At 42.7% G+C, this 20,681-nt stretch overlaps 2 protein-coding genes across 51 annotated transcripts in view, besides 1 other annotated feature; one reads left to right on the plus strand and one right to left on the minus strand.

The window, feature by feature from the left end:
- The window catches only part of MYO9A (myosin IXA), a 296,310-nt gene that overhangs the window by 273,850 nt on the left and 1,779 nt on the right, over nucleotides 1–20,681 (minus strand). The gene's annotated exons all lie outside the window — the stretch shown is intronic.
- Nucleotides 5,928–6,438: an enhancer, noted in NCBI's record as "NANOG-H3K27ac-H3K4me1 hESC enhancer chr15:72394409-72394919 (GRCh37/hg19 assembly coordinates)". NCBI's record gives its function as "activates a minimal SCP1, AML or CMV promoter by ChIP-STARR-seq in primed H9 embryonic stem cells {active_cell/tissue: H9 hESC(primed)}" and the evidence as "EXISTENCE:reporter gene assay evidence [ECO:0000049][PMID:30033119]".
- SENP8 (SUMO peptidase family member, NEDD8 specific) overlaps nucleotides 18,118–20,681 on the plus strand; it is a 29,435-nt gene continuing 26,871 nt past the window's right edge. The window contains exon 1 of the mRNA NM_001166340.2: nucleotides 18,118–18,403. The gene's annotated coding sequence lies outside the window, so the exon portion shown is untranslated. The remainder of the gene's footprint in view (nucleotides 18,404–20,681) is intronic.

Below are 20,681 nucleotides of genomic sequence, written 5' to 3' on the forward strand. Positions count from 1 at the left end.
TGACAGAGCGAGACTGTCTCAAAAAAAAAAAAAAAAGAAAAAAAAAAATTAGCTGGGCATGGTGGTGCAGGCCTGTAGTCCCAGATACTCAGGAGGTTGAGGTGGGAGAATCACCTGAACCCAGGAGGCAGAGGCTGTAGTTAGTTGAGATCACACCACCGCACTCCGGCCTGGGCAACAGTGAGATCCTGTCTCAGGGAACAACAACAACAAAATTACACTAAATCTACTTTGCCTTTGCTCTCTAAATGGAAAAACAAAGCCTGAATGACAACACATCTGTTGACAGTAAGGTTTACTGAATGTTTTAAGCCCACCGTTGAGACCTACTGCTCAGAAAAATAAGATTCCTTCAAAATACTACTGCTTATTGACAATGCACCTAGTTACCCAAGGGCTCTGTTAAAGATGTACAAGGAGATTAATGTTTTCCCACCTGCTAACACAACATCCACTCTGCAGCCCATGGATCAAGGAGTAATTTTAACTTTCAAGTCTTATTATTTAAAATATTTCATGAGGCTTTAGCTGCCATAGACAGTGATTCCCCTTATGGATCTGGGCAAGGTAAACGTAAAACCTTCTGTAAAGAATTCACCTTTCTGGGTGCCATTAAGAACATTCATGACTCGTGGGAAGAGGTCAACATAACATTAACAGGAGTTTGGAAGAGGTTGTTCCCAAGCCTCATGGATGACTTTGATGGCTTCAAGACTTCAGTGGAAGAAGGAATTGCAGATGTGGTGGAAACAAAGATAATTAGAATTTAAAATGGAGCCTAAAGATATGACTGAACTGCAGCAATCTCACAATAAAACATGAACAGATGATAAGCTGCTTCTTACTGATGACCAAAGAAAGTGGTTTCTTGAGATAGAATCTACTCCTTGAGAAGATGCTGAGAACACTGTTGAAATGACAACGAAGTATGTATAATATTACATCAACATAGTTGATAAAGCAGCTGCAGGGTTTGAGAAGACTGACTCCAATTTTGAAAAAAGTTATATTGTGCATAAAATGCTATCAAATGGCACTGCATGCTACAGACAAATCTTTCATTAAAGGAACAGTCCACTGATGCAGCATACGTCATTGTCTTATTTCAAGAAATTGCCACATCCACTCCAACTTTCAGCATCCACTATCCTGATTAGTCTGCAGCCACCACCATGAAGTAAAGAACCTCCACCAGCAAAAAGATTACAATTCAATGAAGGCTCAGATGACCGATGACCGTTAGCATTTTTTTAATATTTTCTAATCAATGTGTGGATATTTTTGTAGACATGGTGCTATTATACACTTTAAATAGACTATAGTACAGTATAAACATAAGTCTTATACGCAATGGGAAAACAAAAGTTTCATGTGACTTGCTCTACTGCAATATTCACTTTATTACAATATTTGCTTTATTGCAGTGGTCTGAAACTGAACTTAAATATATCAGAAGTATGCCTGTATATAAACTGGAGATCCAGAAAAAGAAAGACTGAGATGGTGAAACAAAAATATTTAAAAACTGGGAGGCCAAGGTGGGCGGATCATGAGGTCAAGAGATCAAGACCATCCTGGCCAACATGGTGTAACCCCATGTCTCTACTAAAAATACAAAAATGAGCTGGGCATGGTGGCGTGCGCCTGTAGTCTCAGCTACTCAGGAGGCTGAGGCAGGAGAATCGCTTGAACCCAGGAGACAGAGGTTGCGGTGAGCCGAGATCACACCACTTCACTCCAGCCTGGTGACAGAGCGAGACTCCATCTCAAAAATAAATAAATAAAATAAAAATTTTTTTAAAAAAAAGAAGAAACAGAAAAAGAAAGACCACTGAAACTATAAGATCATTTCCTCTGAAAACAATTAACTAGAAATCAGTATAAAAAAGATGAGTGGGCATAACAAATGTATTTTTCAAAGATGTCCACACCAGCATATACCCCATCCCACACATACTTTTACAATGTGACTTGACACTTTTCCCTATGCTTCCTCCTCCTCAAACATGAATGGAGCTCTGTAACTCTGGATCACCAGAATGCAGAAACAAGGCTAGGTCATAAATGGCAACATGGCTTCTATCTGGTATGCTCTCTCTCTCAGGAATTCCACTGACCATGCCCTGACAACAGTTAAAGTTTCATGGAAAAACCCACATGGAAGGGAACTAACACAGAAATGCCAAGTTTAACCACTCCTGAATTCCTAACCCACCAAAACTGTAAAGGATAATAAGCCACTAAGTTTTGGGCTTAACTGGTTATGCAACAATAGATAACTAACATACTAAAAATTGTCACTTATTTGGAAATTTTTAAATATACTCCTAAATAATATATGTGACCAATAAATGAAAAATATTTTGAAATAAATAACAAAACTACATTTCAAAACTTGTGAGATGCAATTAAAGCAATACTTCATGGGAAAATGTATAACCCTAAATAAGTATAATAGGAAAAAAAATTAGAGAGCTATCTATTCAGAAGATAAAAAAGAATTGCAAAATAAACCTGAAGAAAGTAGGAAGGAAATAACAGAAGTGATCAGGTGTGTGTGGTGCCACACACCTATAGCCCCAGCTAGCCAGGGGGCTGAGGCAGGAGGGTTACTTGAGCCCAGGAGTTCGAGACCAGCCTGGGCAATATAATGAGACCACACCCCCATCTCAAAAACAAAACAAAACAAAACAAAACAAACTGCTGTGATCATATTTTGGTTAGAAAAGAAATGATAAAAACGAAGAAGTGATAAGTAGAGAGAAAACAAAATAGTAAAGGCCATCAAAGCCAGAAGTTGTATTTAAAAAAAAAAACAACTATAAATTGGCAAACCTCTGGCAAAAATAATTAAGAAATTAAAAAGAAAAAGAGGCCAGACACAGTAGCTCACACCTGTAATTCCAATACTGGGAAGCGGAGGCAGAAAGATCATTTGAGCCCAGAAGTTCGAGATCAACCCTGGCAACACAGCCAAGACCTCATCTCTACAAAAACTCAAAAAGTAGCCAGGTCCAGGCCAGGGGCAGGGCCTCACACCTGTAATCCAGCACTTTGGGAGGCTGAGGCAGACAGATCAACTGAGGCCAGAAGTTCCAGACCAGTCTGGCCTACATGGTGAAACCTCATCTCCACTAAAAAATACAAAAGTCAGCTAGGTGTAGTGGTGCACACCTGTGGTCTCAGCTACTCAGGAGGCTGAGTCACAACAATCGCTTGAACCTGGGAGGCAGAGGTTGGCAATGAGCCGAGATGCTGGGCAATAGAGCAAGACCCTGCCCCAAAAAAAAAAAAAAAAAAAAGAAAAAAAAATTAGCCAGGTCTAGTGACACACACCTGTAGTCCCAGCTACTCAGGATCCTGAGGTGGTAGAATCACTCGAGCCTGGGAGGTCAAGACTGCAGCCAGCCGTGGTCACATCACTGCACTCCAGCCTAGGCAACAGCGAGACCTTGTCTCAAAAAAAGAAAAAAAAACCAAGGCTGGGCGCGGTGGCTCATGCCTGTAATCCCAGAATTTTGGGAGGCTGAGCGGGTGGATCACCTGAAGCCAGGAGTTTGAGACCAACCTGACCAATATGGTGAAACCCTGACTCTACTAAAAACATAAAAATTGGTCGGGCATGGTGGCATGCGCCTGTAGTCCCAGCTACTCAGGAGGCTGAGACAGGAGAACTGCTTGAACCCAGGAGGCTGAGGCTGCAGTGAGCCGAGATCGAGCCACTGCACTCCAGCCCTCCAGCCTGGGTGACAGAGCAAGACTTGGTCTCAAAAAAAAAAAAAAAAAAAAAAAAGCAAAGGATCAGGAATGGAAAAAGGGATAAAAACTAACATCAGAAATAACAGATTAGGGTAATCCCAGCACTCTGGGAGGTGAGGCAGGCGGATCACCTGAGGTCAGGAGTTTGAGACCAGCCTGGGCAGTATAGCAAGACCCCATCTCTAAAAAAATAGAAAAATTAGACAGGTGTGGTGGCTTGCACCTGGAATCCCAACACTTTGGGGTGCCGAGGCGGGCGGATCACCTGACGTCCGGAGTTCAAGACCAGCCTGGCCAACATGGTGAAACCTGTCTCTACAAAAAATAGAAAAATTAGACAGGTGTGGTGGCTCACACCTGGAATCCCAGCACTTTGAGAGGCCGAGGCGTGCAGATCACTCTGAGCTATAACAGATGTGAAGACTCAGTGCTCGGTGGTGCCCAGGCTGGAGTGCAGTGGCGTGGTCTCGGCTCGCTACAACCCCGTCTGGGAAGTGAGGAGCGTCTCTGCCTGGCCACCCATCGTCTGGGATGTGGGGAGCCCCTCTGCCTGGCTGCCCAGTCTGGGAGGTGAGGAGCGTCTCCGACCGGCCGCCATCCCATCTAGGAGGTGAGGAGCGCCTCTTTCCGGCCGCCATCACATCTAGGAAGTGAGGAGCGTCTCTGCCCGGCCGCCCATCATCTGAGATGTGGGGAGCACCTCTGCCCCGCCGCCCCGTCTGGGATGTGAGGAGCACCTCTGCCCCGCCACGACCCCGTCTGGGAGGTGAGGAGCATCTCTGCCCCGCCGCCCCGTCTGAGAAGTGAGGAGACCCTCTGCCCGGCAACCACCCCGTCTGAGAAGTGAGGAGACCCTCCACCCGGCAGCTGCCCCGTCTGAGAAATGAGGAGCCTCTCCGCCCGGCAGCCACCCCGTCTGGGAAGTGAGGAGCGTCTCCGCCCGGCCAGCCGCCCCGTCCGGGAGGGAGGTGGGGGGGGTCAGCCCCCCGCCGGCCAGCCGCCCGGTCCGGGAGGGAGGTGGGGGGGGTCAGCCCCCCGCCCGGCCAGCCGCCGCGTCCCGGAGGGAGGTGGGGGGGTCAGCCCCCCGCCTGGCCAGCCGCCCCGTCCGGGAGGGAGGTAGGCGGGTCAGCCCCCCGCCCGGCCAGCCGCCCCGTCAGGGAGGGAGGTGGGGGGTTCAGCCCCCCGCCAGGCCAGCCGCCCCGTCCGGGAGGGAGGTCGGGGCATCAGCCTCCCGCCCGGCCAGCCGCCCCGTCTGGGAGGTGAGGGGTGCCTCTGCCTGGCCGCCCCTACTGGGAAGTGAGGAGCCCCTCTGCCCGGCCAGCCGCCCCGTCCGGGAGGGAGGTGGGGGGGTCAGCCCCCCGCCCGGCCAGCCGCCCCGTCAGGGAGGGAGGTGGGTTCAGCCCCCCGCCAGGCCAGCCGCCCCGTCCGGGAGGGAGGTCGGGGCGTCAGCCTCCCGCCCGGCCAGCCGCCCCATCTGGGAGGTGAGGGGCGCCTCTGCCTGGCCGCCCCTACTGGGAAGTGAGGAGCCCCTCTGCCAGGCCAGCCGCCCCGTCCGGGAGGGAGGTGGCGGGGTCAGCCCCCCGCCCGGCCAGCCGCCCCGTCCGGGAGGGAGGTGGGGGGGTCAGCCCCCCGCCCGGCCAGCCGCCCCGTCCGGGAGGTGAGGGGCGCCTCTGCCCGGCCGCCCCTACTGGGAAGTGAGGAGCCCCTCTGCCCGGCCAGCCGCCCCATCCAGGAGGGAGGTGGGGGGGTCAGGCCCCGCCCGGCCAGCCGCCCCGTCTGGGAGGGAGGTGGGGGGGGTCAGCCCCCCGCCCGGCCAGCCGCCCCGTCTGGGAGGTGAGGGGCGCCTCTGCCCGGCCGCCCCTACTGGGAAGTGAGGAGCCCCTCTGCCAGGCCAGCCGCCCCGTCCGGGAGGGAGGTGGCGGGGTCAGCCCCCCGCCCGGCCAGCCGCCCCGTCCGGGAGGGAGGTGGGGGGGTCAGCCCCCGACCGGCCAGCGGCCCCGCCCGGGAGGTGAGGGGCGCCTCTGCCCGGCCGCCCCTACTGGGAAGTGAGGAGCCCCTCTGCCCGGCCACCACCCCGTCTGGGAGGTGTGCCCAACAGCTCATTGAGAACGGGCCAGGATGACAATGGCGGCTTTGTGGAATAGAAAGGCGGGAAAGGTGGGGAAAAGATTGAGAAATCGGATGGTTGCCGTGTCTGTGTAGAAAGAAGTAGACATGGGAGACTTTTCATTTTGTTCTGTACTAAGAAAACTTCTGCCTTGGGATCCTGTTGATCTGTGACCTTACCCCCAACCCTGTGCTCTCTGAAACATGTGCTGTGTCCACTCAGGGTTAAACGGATTAAGGGCGGTGCAAGATGTGCTTTGTTAAACAGATGCTTGAAGGCAGCATGCTCGTTAAGAGTCATCACCACTCCCTAATCTCAAGTACCCAGGGACACAAATACTGCGGAAGGCCGCAGGGTCCTCTGCCTAGGAAAACCAGAGACCTTTGTTCACTTGTTTATCTGCTGACCTTCCCTCCACTATTGTCCTATGACCCTGCCAAATCCCCCTCTGTGAGAAACACCCAAGAATTATCAATAAAAAATAAATAAATTTAAAAAAAAAAAAAAAAAGAAATAACAGATTAGGTGGTTCCATGGTGTAATGGTGAGCACTCTGGACTCTGAATCCAGAAATAACAGATATATCAGAAAGCCAATCAATACAATCAACCACATCTCAAAAAAATCCAAGAAAATTCAGTAGTTATACACGTCTCTAATGGAGTCTTGGCAAAAGAAAAACAGAAGCTTCCTTGATTCGATAAAAGGTATCTACAAAGCCTACACCATGCTTAATGAGGAAAGGTTGAACATTTTTCCCTTGAGATGAGAAACAAGACAAAGATGGCCCTATAAAGTCCTATCAACATTATGCTGGAGATCTCAGGCAGCAAAGGAAAGCAGGAAAAAAATAAAAGGTATAAGGATTAGAAACAAGAGACAAAATTGTCATTATTTGCATATGACATAATTATATATATAGGAAATCCAGAAGAATCTACAGATAAATTCAAATTATATATGGTTTTTTTTGTTGTTGTTTCTTTGTTTTTTGAGATGGAATCTCACTCTGTCACCCAGGCTGGAGTGCAGTGGTGCGATCTCTGTTCACTGAACCTCCACTCCCGGGTTCAAGTGATTCTCCTCGGCTGAGGAAGGAGAATCACTTGAGCCTGGCAGGCGGAGGTTGCAGTGAGCCAAGATTGCGCCACTGCACTCCAGCCTGGGTGGCAGAGTAAGACTAAGTCTCAAGAAAAAAAAAAAGCAGCAGCAGAAGCAGAAGCAGCAGCAGAAGCAGCAGCAGCAGAAGGAGAAGCAGAGGCAGCAGCAGAAGCAGCAGCAAGCAGCAGCAGCAGAAGCAGAAGCAGCAGCAAGCAGCAGCAGCAGAAGCAGAAGCAGCAGCAAGCAGAGACAGAAGCAGCAGCAGAAGCAGAAGCAGCAGCAGCAGAAGCAGCAGCAAGCAGCAAGCAGCAGCAGAAGCAGCAGCAGCAGAAGCAGAAGCAGCAGCAGAAGAAGAAGCAGCAGCAGAAGCAGAAGCAGCGCAGAAGCAGAAGCAGTGGCAGCAGAAGCAGCAGAAGCAGTGGAAGCAGAAGCAGCAGAAGCAGTGGAAGCAGAAGCAGCAGAAGCAGTGGAAGCAGAAGCAGCAGAAGCAGTGGAAGCAGAAGAAGCAACAGAAGAAGCAGAAGAAGAAACAGAAGAAGCAGAAGTAACAGAAGAAGCAGCAGCAGAAGCAGAAGAATTTCACAAATACTGAACTAATTTTTTAGATTACATAATATACACATAGTATTATTATATGCACATGAAGTTCAAAAACAAGGAAAACTATATTGTTTAAGGATGTATAGCTAGGACTTAAAATTATGAAGCAAAGCAAAAAACAGTCACAAAGGTCAGGATAATAACTACCTCCACTGAGGGGGGATATGTTGACAAGGATGGTGAGGTTGGAGGGAAGCACTTCTGGCTTGTTGACCTGGGCAATGACAACACTAATATTCACTTTATTATTTCCCTTAAACTGAACATTTTATGCCTTCTCTTGTATACAGATGGTCCACAACTTATGACGGTTCAACTTACAGTTTTTCAACTTTAGCACAGTGCAAAATCGATATGCATTCAGTAGAAACCATACTTCAAATTTTGAATTTTTATCTTTTCCCAGGCTAGCAATATGCAGTATGATACTTTCTCATAATGCTGGGCAGCAGCAGAAAGCAGCAGCTCTCACAAGGGTAAACAACTGATCCTCAATAGTATATACTGTGTTGCCAGATGATTCTGTCCAACTGTAGGCTAATGTGTTCTGAGCGCATTTAAGGAAGGCTAAGCTAAGCTATTATATTTGGTAGGTTAGGTGTAATAAATGCATTTTCGACTTATGGTATTTTCAACTTACAATGGGTTTATCAGGATGTAACCCCACTGTAAGTAAGGAAGCATCAGTATATGAATGAAAAGGAAAAATAACAACTGCATGTAACTAGTATGGTAATTTAATATACGGTAATATAAGTCTGGTACCTAGTGTGCATTTTTTAAAAGCTACCATAATTACAAAATGTTCTGTATCCTCCCCAGTGCCTACACATCAGGAAGTTGGTCATGGTAGATGCTCAAATATTTTGATCAATAAATGAAACAACTTCCATTCTGATTAAACGAAGTAAAAGACAATTTAGATCTGAATGATTCCCTAAACCAACTGTCATTCTACAAGCCCAGAGACTGAATTCTTTATATCCCAACAGACTATTCCCTCTGCCTTTAGCATTTTCCTGATCTCTTTCTCTTCATTCATAGGATACATCTGTTCTGCCCTACTATACTGTAAGAAGCTGTACATTAAATGCTTAGAATCCTATACATAATCTGAGATTTAAGACAAAAAAAGAGAAAGAAGAAAGGTTAAAGTTAAGGGGAAATGGTACATAAGATGTACATAAGAGCAGAATTTTCAGGAAAACCCAGTGAAGATACAATGTATCCTTACATGAAAACATTCAAGACATGGGCTTTTTTTTAGTTCTAATGATTCAAGGAGTCAGGAAACAGTGAAATAAAGCAGGAAACAGTGAAATAAAGCAGGCAAATCATCTACTGTCCCTTCAGACCTAGGTACCATACCAAAATATATCTACTGTTTTTTTCCTAAAATTATCTCAACAACAACAAAACAGAACAAAGATACCTCTGAAAGCTACAAGACTCTTCTGGAAAAAATCAGCTCCTTCTCAGTCACTTGGGAAAAACACTTTTTTCTTTTTCCTTTTTTCTCTTTTAAGAGACAGGGTCTTGCTCTATTGCCCAGGCTGTTGGACTACTACCGTGGCATGATCATTATGGCTCAGTGTAACCTCGAACTCCTGGGCTCAAGTGATCCTCCCATGTCAGCCTTCCCAGTAGCTAGGACCACAGGCACACACCACAATGCTTGGCTAGTTCTTTTGTTTGTTTTGGTAGAGACAGGGTCTCATTATGTTGCCCAAGCTGGTTTCAAACTGCTGGCCTCAAGCAACCTTACTGCCTCAGCCTCCCGAAATGCTGGGAAAGCTTTTTTTTTTTTTTTTTTTTTTTTGAGACAGTTTCCCTCTTGTTGCCCAGGCTGGAGCACAATGGCATGATCTTGGCTCACCGCAACTTCCGCCTCCCAGGTTGAAGCGATTCTCCTGCCTCAGCCTCCCTAGTAGCTGGGATTACAGGCATGTGCCACCACGCCCAGCTAATTTTGTATTTTTAGTAGAGATGGGGTTTCTACATGTTGGTCAGGCTGGTCTTGAACTCTCAACCTCAGGTGATCCACCGGCCTCGGCCTCCCAAAGTGCTGGGATTACAGGCATAAGCCACCATGCCCTGCGGGGAAAGCTTTATTTTTTAATCAATTTATTCAATATGTATTACTTACACATAGTTCAAAAGATTAAACATAAATATCCTTCAGAACCAAACTCACTGAATAAAACTATGGTACATCCGTATAATAGAATATTGTGTCTCCGTAAAAAAGAATGAGAAACATCTTATATACCAATACGAAGTCCTCTCCAGCATACAGTAAGTGGAAAAAAAAGAAAAGGTACAGAACAGAATACATGGTATGCTACCTTTAGCATATGAAAAGAGAATACATATATTTTATTTTTGAAAGAAAAATATTAGGATGATTAATCAAAGACTTACAAAAATGGTTACGTATAGAGGAGTGAGAAAACAGGATGAAAAAGATGGGGATGAAAATGAGATTCCTGGCCAGGCACAATGACTCATGCCTGTAATCTCAGCACTCTGGGAGGCTGAGACAGGAGGACTGCTTGAGGCCAGGAGTTCAAAACCAGCCTGGGCAACATAGCAAGACCCCATCCCTACTAAAATAAAATGTAATTTAAAAAAATAATTAGGAAGGCACAGTGGCACGCACCTATAGTATTAGCTACTCAGAAGGCTAAGGCAGAAGGATGGCTTGAACCCAAGAGTTCAAGGCTGCAGTGATGTATGATTGTGCCACTGCACTTGCTCTATCACTCCAGCCTGGGTGACAGAGCAAGACCTCATCTCTAAAAACATTTAAGAAAATAAAAATCCTTTTTTTATATGGTTTCTCTTTCTGAACTATGTAAGTGCTTTACATATTCAAAGAATAAAATCAAGGGTTTTTTTTTATTTTTTTTTTGAAATAGGGTTTCACTCTGTCACCCAGGTTGGAGTGCAGCAGCGCAATCACAGGTCACTGCAGCCTCAACCTCCTGGGCTCAAGCAAACCTCCCACCTTAGGCTCCCAAAGTGCTGGGATTACAGGCGTGAGCCATAGCACCCAGCCAAATTAAGTCTAAAAACAGGAAAAGCAAATCCTAAAATAAAATAAGTAGACCTAACTGCATATTAAACTGGTAACAATCAAACTGAGAAAATCATTATTTCAAGTGACTTTTGAACATAGTACTACTTACAATAGGTACATTCTTAGTAGGATACAGTCTAAGGACAAAAAGAAATGCAAAGAAATTTTGAGTCTCACTGAGCAGTTTCATTTATTTTTGAAACTATTTTATAAATACTTAGAAAAAACATACATCAATGTTAATAAAAACTATGATTTTCAACGTAAAGGAGATTAAAACAAAAATAATTTAACAAACTAAAAGGAGGAGGAGGAAGAAGAGTAGGGAGAAGAGAAGGAAGAAACCCATAATGTTAAACTTGAGTAAGAATTATCAAGATGATATCATGCTTTTTACTCCCTCCTGTCAAGAGCCTCAATGACAGCCCAATAACAAGGAGCATACTTAGCACCTAAATAGTGGTTTCTAAATACAATCTCGGCAGAGTGTAGTGACTCATGCCTGTAATCCTAGCACTTTGGGAGGCTGAGGCAGGCAGATCACCTGAGGTCAGGAGTCCCAGACCAGCCTGGTCAACATGGTGAAACCCTGTCTCTACTAAAAATACAAAAATTAGCGAAGTATAGTGGCGCGCGCCTGTAATCCCAGCTACTCCAGAGGCTGAGGCAGGAGAATCACTTGAACCCCGGAGGCAGAAGTTGCAGTGAGCCAAAATCGTGCCACTGCACTCCAGCCTGGGCGACAGAGCAAGACTTTGCCCCTCCCCTCCAAAAAATATTTTTTTTAATTAAATAAATATATAAATAAATACAATCCTCCACTGTAAGAAGACAAAGCTTCTTGGAGAAATTGCTGATTCCAAGTCTAAAGCAGGAAAAGTCCATGGTGAGCCAAGATATCGTGTACCCAAAAGTAAGGAATCATTCAAAGACTAATGGGTTCAGGAAAAAATAATTCAGGAACCTGTTTGAAGAAGCTCCCACTGTCCTTATTTGAGACAATTTGAGCATCAAAAAAAAAAAAACGTCTGCAAATGACTATAATACAACAAAAGTCATGAGACCATTAAAAACCTCATTTGCTACTATTGTAGATGACTATTACACAAATCCTCACTCTAAAAATTAAGGAAAAAATTAAGCATTTACTGTTCTCTTTTAATAGGAACTGTTGTTCACTCCCAGTTGATAAAGGTTACAAAGCTCTTATTAACTGAAGAATAACTAATAAATGAAAAAGAATTACAGAATTAGAAAAATCGCCATTTTGCAATCCTTAATTAAATACCTAAGGATCAAAAAAGATGCTAAAATTATTAGAGAAAGAATACTGAGAAATGGAATATTTGTATGGTACCAAAGTATCAGTCCCACAGATTATTGTACATAACAGGAGAAAAAATTTACTTTTAAAATGGAGACATAAGCAAACACCACCTTAAACCTATCGAACTTACATCACTGATAGGAGGACAGCTGACATTATGTGCCTCCCATTAACACACAACATGATATACAACATCACCTACAGAGTGTTCTTGCCAAAACTTTTTAATATGAATCTATTCAATCCTTTACAATATAACTTCCAGTTTACAGGACATACAAGCACCAGAAGAACAAGTTAAACAATCTAAGAAACAATCAGAAAACTCTAGAAAACAGGCCATTCTACAAGATGATTGGTCTCTTCAAAGACATTTCAATGTCACAGGGAAGAGAAATGTGGGAAGGAACTTCCTACATTGAGAGACTAAAAAGAGATAATCAAATGAAATGCAAAAACTAAAAGTGAGTTCTCTTTTGAAAAAAACATTTTTCAGGACAGTTGGGAAAATTCAAATATAAATTCAATATTAAATTAGGGTATTATTTTTCCTAGGTGTTGGTAATAGCACACTGGTGATACGAAAAATATGTATTTCTTAGAAAATATATACGAAGTATTTTGCAGTAAACTTGTCATGACACATACATTTTTTTTTTTTTTTTTGAGACAGAGTTTCACTCTTGTCACCCAGGCTGGAGGGCAATGGTGCAATCTCAGCTCACCACAACCTCCACCTCCCAGGTTGAAGTGATTCTCCTGCCTCAGTCTCCCGAGTAGCTGGGATTATAAGCACCCACCACCACGCCCAGCTAATTTTTGTATTTTTAGTAAAGACAGGGTTTCACCATGTTGGCCAGGCTGGTCTCAAACTCCTGACCTCAGGTGATCCACCTGCCTCGGCTTTCCAAAGTGCTGGGGTTACAGATGTGAGTCACGGCACCCAGCCGCAACTTACTTTCAAAAGGTTCTGCAAAAATATATACAATCACAGCCGGGCGTGGTGGCTCAGGCCTGTAATCCCAGCATTCTGGGAGGCCGAGGCAGCAGGCAGATCATGAGGTCAGGAGGTCGAGACCATCCTGACTAACACCGTGAAACGCCACCTCTACTAAAAATATAAAAAATTAGCCAGGCGTGGTGGCGGGTGCCTGTAGTCCCAGCTACTCGGGAGGCTGAGGCAGGAGAATGGTGTGAACCCAGGAGGTGGAGCATGCAGTGAGCCAAGATCATGCCACTGCACTCCAGCCTGGGTGACAGAGCAAGGCTCTGTCTAAAAAAAAAAAAAAAATACACACACACAATCACACAGGGAACAATAATGCAAATATGGATGGCATAACGCTATCTTTTGAATCTAGTTGATAGACATAATTAGTGTTCTCTTCCAACTTTTCTATTTCTTTAAGATCTTAATTATAAAACAATAGGGGAGGGAAGAAAGAGAACTAAAAGAAAACAGAGTTGCAAAAGCAAAATAAGACAAAAATATTAGTCGGGTGCAGTGGTTCACGCCTGTAATCACAGCATTTTGGGAGGCCAAGGCAGGCGGATCGCTTGAGGTCAGCAGTTTGAGACCAGTCTGGCCAATATGGTGAAACCCTGTCTCTATTAAAAATACAAAAATTAGCTGAGTGTGGTGGCACACACCTGTAATCCCAGCTACTTGGGACGCTGAGGCACAAGAATCAAGAATCACTTGAACCTCGAAAGTGGAGGCTGCAGTGAGCCAAGATCGCACCACTGCACTGTAGCCTGGGCGACAGAGCAAGACTCTGTCTCACAAAAAAATAAATAAATAAATAAGGCAAAAAAAATCTAAAAATCGTTTATAAACATGTCCACACAGTCACCTAAGAACTTTCTCCCTTACATTAAAAAAAAAAAAAAAATCTAGCCAGGCAGCGTAGTGGCACACATCTGTAGTACCAGCTACTCAGGAGGTTGAAGTGGGAGGACTGCTTGAGCCCAGGAGCTTGAGTCCAGCCTGGGCAATACAGTGAGATGCTGTCTCAAGAAAAAAACAAAAAGGAAATTCCAGGCCGGGTGTGGTGGCTCACACCTGTAATCCCAGCACTTTGGGAGGCCGAGGCAGGTAGATTACCTGAGGTCAGCAGTTGAAGACCTTCCTGGCCAACATGGCAAAACCCCATCTCTACTAAAAATACAAAAATTAGCTGGGCACGGTGGCAGGCACCTGTAATCCCAGCTACTTGGGAGGCTGAGGCAGGAGAATCACTTGAACCCGGAAGCCGGAGGTTGCAGTGAGCCGAAATTGCACCACTGCACTCCAGCCTGGGAGACAGAGCAAGACTCCATCTCAAAAAAAAAAAAAAAAAAAAAAAGAAAATTCCAGAGATTACTCAGCCCACTATCATCTGATCAATAAAAATAAACAGATTTCAAACAAATACTTACACACTACAAACAGCAATAGTACTAAAATCTGTCAATTATTTAAGGAATGTTTGTCATTGACAAACAGAACACATTTTGTTATGATAACTCACACTGAATCAAATACATTCTAAAATCCATTAATCTTATATGCTAAGACATCAAGAGAAGCATTTCTTTGCAGTATTTTTTCAAAAATATTTTTTAAATGCCCCAATGCCACAAGAAATATTTTAACTGAAAAAAATCACACTTGAAAGACAACTAGTAGACAGACTGCCCTAATATCTGCTTCTTTTAGCAACAAACTTTGATTAGCCATTTATTCTAAAAGCCACACAGTGAAATTCTTAAAATTCTTGATTTCGGCCGGGCATGGTGGCTCACGCCTGTAATCCCAGCACTTTGGGAGGCCGAAGCGGGCGGATCACAAGGTCAGGAGATCGAGACCATCCTGACTAACATGGTGAAGCCCTGTCTCTACTAAAAATACAAAAAATTAGCCGGGAGTGGTGGCAGGTGCCTGTATTCCCAGCTACTCGGGAGGCTGAGGCAGGAGAATGGCGTGAACCTGGGAGGCAGAGCTTGCAGTGAGCCGAGATTGCACCCCTGCACTCCAGCCTGGGCAACAGAGCGAGACTCCATCTCAAAAAAAAAAAAAAATTATTGATTTCACATTTAAACATAACAAGAAATAGGCTGCGCACAGTGGCTCACACCTATAATCCCAGCATTTTGGGAGGCCAAGGCAGGCAGATCGCTTGAGGTCAGGAGTTCAAGACCAGCTTGGTCAATATGGTGAAATCCTGTCTCTACTAAAAATACAAAATTAGCCGGGCATGGTGGCGTGCACCTGTAGTCCCAGCTACTCGGGAGGCTGAGGCACGAGAATCACTTGAACCCAGGAGGCAGAGGTTGCAGTGAGCCGAGATTGCGCCACTGCACTCCAGCCTGGGTGACAGAGTGAGATTGTCTTAAAAAAAAAAAAAAATTAATAAATAAAACAGGAAATAGACGTATTCAAGAGGGAAAAGGAAGACTTACTGAGTACCTACTATATGCTTGGTGCTTTACATAAAAATTTTTTTAACTCCAATGATAGTCTTATGAGGCAAATATTACCCCCAATTTTTTTTTTTTTTTTGAGGCAGGGTCTCACTCTGTTGCCCAGCCTGGAGTACAATGGCATGATTACAGATCACTGCAGCCTCGACCTCCCAGGTTCAAGTGATCCTCCCACCTCAGCCTCCCAAGTAGCTAGGACCATAGGTGAATGCCACCACACTCAGCTATTTAATAATAATTTTGTCATTTTTGTAGAGACAAGGTCTCCTATGTTGCCCAGGCTGGTCTCAAACTCCTAGGCTCAACTGATCCTCCTACCTCCACCTCTGCCTCCCAATTATCCCCAATTGAGAGATGAAAATTCTGACAAGCTCTCAAACGTTAACTGACTTGCCCATAAATGACAGTTCCAAAGTTATAAGGCTAGAACTTGAATCCAGGTCTGTTAGAAATCTAGGTTTGAGAATCCATATTCTCTCCACTTAATGGATTTAAGATTCACAGATATAAAAGCCTATCTAAGGAAAAAGAATATTTAAAAGAATACAGTTATATATTCAAAGAGCTACACAATCTTACAGTTTAAGAAAAATCAAAACTGAGAAAAAGTATGCTCCAAAATTATTGCTAATTGTAAAAAAAAATAAATAAATAAAAAAAACACACACAATTTTTAGCAAGCCAGCTGTCTATGACAGGACAGCTAGTCCATTCCTCACTGTACATGTAAAATTACACTTCAGTTGCCCGCTGGATGACCCCACTGCCAAAATACGCCAGCAACATAATTCACATTAAAACCCAGAGGCCTAACACTATTTGGAAAGTGCTTTACATGTTTACTATACCTATCCCAAGCATATTTACCACTCATAATTCATAGGCCATTTTCAGCAAATATACTTTGTTCTATCATATTATTTTCTGCCACTCTAAAATCATATTAAATGTATAAAACAAAAACACCTACCTAAATATAACATCTCACAAATAAACCTTAGTAGTATTATGTTATTTTGAACTTGTCTATTGTATGAAACTATGCCATAATTGTTTCTATAACATAAATTAGGTATGTTCTTTCTACAGGATCAAAATTCCAATACCTACACTCCTTGCATGTCTAAAGATACACACAAAATAGGTACAGAAACCTATATGTTAAAGGGTTTCCCATGTAAATTAAATCCTCTATGAGCTGGATTAGTGACTAGAAGAAGGCATGAGGCAGCTTGTAGAGTTCTAGTGATATTCTATATCTTGATGTAGATGTTAGTTACACTGGTATGTTCTTAGTGAAAATTCACTGAGCTATATATTTACCAGCTGTGTACTTTTTGTATATTTTATAATTTATAAAGTCTTATATTTTTAGGCTGGGCACAGTGGCTCAGCCTGTAATCCTAGCACTTTCAAAGGCTGAGGCAGGAGGATGGCTCTAGTCCAGGAGTTTAAGACCAGCCTGGGCAACACAGTGAGACCCTATTTTTTCTGAACTTATATTTTTTAAAATGCTCAATCTAAAAACTTGTTTTACTAAAAAGCACTGATATCATCCCTCTTACCAAAGTAGTCAAACCCTAGTGAAGAAAACAGACAAGTAATTAAGCTATTTCATTAGAGGACTATGATAGAAGTAATTACTATGTGCTACAGGAGCACATAAGAATGGTACCTAACTTAATCTGAAAAGAGGTAAAGGAAATCTTCCTGAAGAATATACACCTGAACTGAATCCTAAAGGTCAGACAGAAATTAGCCAAGCAAAGAAAGGGGAAAGTGGAAATCAGGGAAATAGAACATCAAATGTAAAAGACGAGAGAGAAAGCACATTACCTGAGAGGAAGCCTAAAGTCAGTAAGAGTGGATTAAAGTATGTAAGGAAGACAGCAAGTGAAGAAAAGCTAGAGAATTAAGAGTTAGATCATGAATGATCTCATACACATGCCATGCTACAGTTTAAACTCTATCCTGAAAGCAATGAGACAGCTTTTTTGAAGATTATTCAATAGGAAAGGACATGATTTGATTTTTATCTGTACTATACATGTCAAAATTATGGTGTGGGCCATGCTCACAACCCCATTTTGCGGTAAATTAGCCTGCACACTGTCCCATACTTTCCACCATTAAGATCTTTCCTGATACCCATATATACATACAAACACACAGCCAACAATAAATGGCCAAGAGTGGTGACATAACCTAAGTACACAGACTTGTTAGCAATCAATGAGAAAAAGAGCTGAGCCAAATCTGGAATTCAAACCAGAAAATCCTAGGGAAAAGGAAGAGGTTAGCAACAGGAGCTAACCTCTTTTAAAACGTTTTAAAACAATTGCAGCCAGGAGGCAAGATGTTGGCATGGGGGTCACATAGTAGTTATAAGGAGCAGAAATTAGTAATAAATGGAAGCTATGACATAGGGGGAAAAAAACTGAAGAAAGAAACGGTATCTAGGACAAGCTAACAATGGAGCACTGGAGTGGGGTCTCCAGCTTTATTAGGTTCTTGTTCTTCTTGAGAGCAAGTTTTATTAGGTTCTTTTTCTTCTTGAGAGCAAGTTAACTTTTCCTGGGTTCCCTTGTGTATGGTTCCTTTCAATAAGCACTTCATTACTTAAGGTAACTTGAGTCTCTTCCCTCCAAGTGAAAGAGCCTGACTAAAAGAGCATTTTAGAATACTTACTCCAACAGCAGTCAAGAGAATGAACAGGAGGGCATGACAAGAGGCAGAAGACAGAAGGCAAGAAGACCACTCAGCATTACAGAAGCCCAACAAACAGATATTTTCAGTTAAAATAAGATAGAGGCAACAAAAAGTAATAAGGAATGACCTGAAATATCATGAGGGAAAATGTACAAGGCAGTGACAGACTGGATGTTGGCAGTGAAGTACAGAGTGAAGCGGAGGGCAATTCCCAGGTTCCTGAAGGTTTCATGAGGAAAGAGTGGTGCCATTAATCAAGGTAGGAAATCGGGGGGAAGAAAAAATTTTGTTGCAGTTTCTGTCTCCGGCTCTCTCTCCACTGTTTTTGTGGGGGGAAAAGAGGCAGGAAGAGTTTTGTTTCCTAAATGTTTGGATTGAAGTGTTTGTGAAATGTGAATCAAAGTGGTGATATCCATTAGGCAGTGCTTTTACAGGGGTCTAGAGCAAAGGCAAGCACTCTAGACAGCAGTTCTAGACTTAGGAATCAATACATTAAGTCAATATTGTGGTTTTTAAAATGTCTGAAAAGTCTTTGACTAATATTTATTTCAAACTGAGTTAACATAACCAAAAATCACTCCAACTAAAAACCTTAATATTCTTGGCAAATCATATTTTCAAACCTCCTACATTTCTCTGCTATTAAAGACTGAACAAACTTCCACATAGTATAATCCAAATGATTAGGAAAGATGGAGTTTATATCGCTAACTTCTATTGAGGTACTTGTTAAAAAAAATCTAAGTTTACCCAATTTCCCTCAGGAACTATATACTACTAAAATAACTAAGGGAAAACAACTGTTAAAAATTCATATATTAGATAGTGAATCTCACTGTTAATGCTTAAACTAGAATAAGTTTTTTAAAGGCACTTAATCATGTAATTTACTAATTTAAATATTCAACTCTACCTGTAATTTAAATGTTGGGTTTCCATCCTAAAACCTTTTCTCCTCCCTTCTGTATGATTTTGCCTCCAAAATCTACTGCTATCAACCCAGAACCTGATACTGAGCTTCAGCCACAAATCCAAATGCCTAATGGTCATCTACATCTGACAGAACTACAGTCACCTAAACTGAACATGTCACAAATTAACCCCTCTATCCTTCCTCCTTGACAAAATAAAAACAAAATCCCACTCCTTCATGGGAATCCCCACCTCAGTGAAAGGCACAAGCCAGAAACCTAGATTTTATCCTGTATGCAACTTCTCCCCAACCCCAAATACAATAAAATCACCAACTCAACTCCGAATATCCAAGTTCAGATCCAGTCTCACCATTTGCCTGGATAACCCTAATATTCCTGGCCTTTAGTCTTATTCTACTCTTCAATTCACTGCAGCCAGAATGACTTTTTTAAAATGCAAATCTGATCATTCCAGTCCCCTGCTTTAAAATCCTTCAATAATTTAATAAATATTATAATCATCATCACAGCTAGTCACACTGTGGAAGCTCAGAGGTTCAATGAGAAATTTAGTTACATCCTTTCTGTAGGTTCAACATAAAAGAATCATCAGGAATTTTTTTCAACTCACAAAATTATTTAAACATACATATAACATCAGACACATTTAAAAGAAAAGCATGTAACATTGTTGGTAAAAGCAAAACACCAAAAATAACCTCCAGTCCACAAAAATGGAATACTATCCAGCCAGTAAATGAGGCACTTCCATATGTATTGTTAAGAAATGACCTCTAGGATGTAGTATTAAGTAAAAAAAACAGGCTATGTATAGAATGTAAAGTATGCAACCATTTGTGTACAGTGTCTTAAAAATATAAATGTGTAGGTTTATATATTGGAAATATCACAGAAAGGATACACATGAAGCTGGAAATAGTGGTTGCCTCTAAAGAGGAAAAATGGGTGGCTGGAGAGTGAAGGCGGAACAGAAATTTTTACTACATTACTCTTCCGAAACTTTTGGCTTTTACGTCTAGTTATTATCTATAATTTTAATGTGATTTTCTCCTGTTACTTTAACATTTTTTACTGTGTGTGTGTGTATGACTACAAAGACCTCTTTATATTTCATCTTTATACCAATATTAAAATTACGTACTGATCATTTGATGCAACATTACATTTCTTTCTTGACAACTCAGGAGCTCAACTTCTACAAACATTTTATTCAACATTTTACTGCTATTGAGAAGGCTGTTGTTGGTAATGACCTCAGTGAACACTGCATGATTTCTGTACTTGCTTCTTGGAGAAGCAAGACAGCAGCACCAGGCAACAGAAGTTTATTATTAAACCGACATCGAAGCATTCAGGGATTAAGGAATGCTACAAATCTTATTTTTCTAGCAAATCCAAAAAACAGTGAATCCAAAAAAAGTCCCCTAGTATCCTTTAAAAATAAAAATAAGAAACAGTTCTAGTATCTGCAGCAATCGACAAGGAGGTGAAGTAATACTACAAGACGACATAGTTATATCCACTAGTGCAACGTGATTTAATCCTTACAGAGGTCCCTAAAACATCAGTGCTGGACAACCTCACACGTTCTACACAGAACAG

Source organism: Homo sapiens, chromosome 15 (assembly GCF_000001405.40).
Source record: "Homo sapiens chromosome 15, GRCh38.p14 Primary Assembly".
Lineage (NCBI taxonomy): Eukaryota > Metazoa > Chordata > Mammalia > Primates > Hominidae > Homo > Homo sapiens.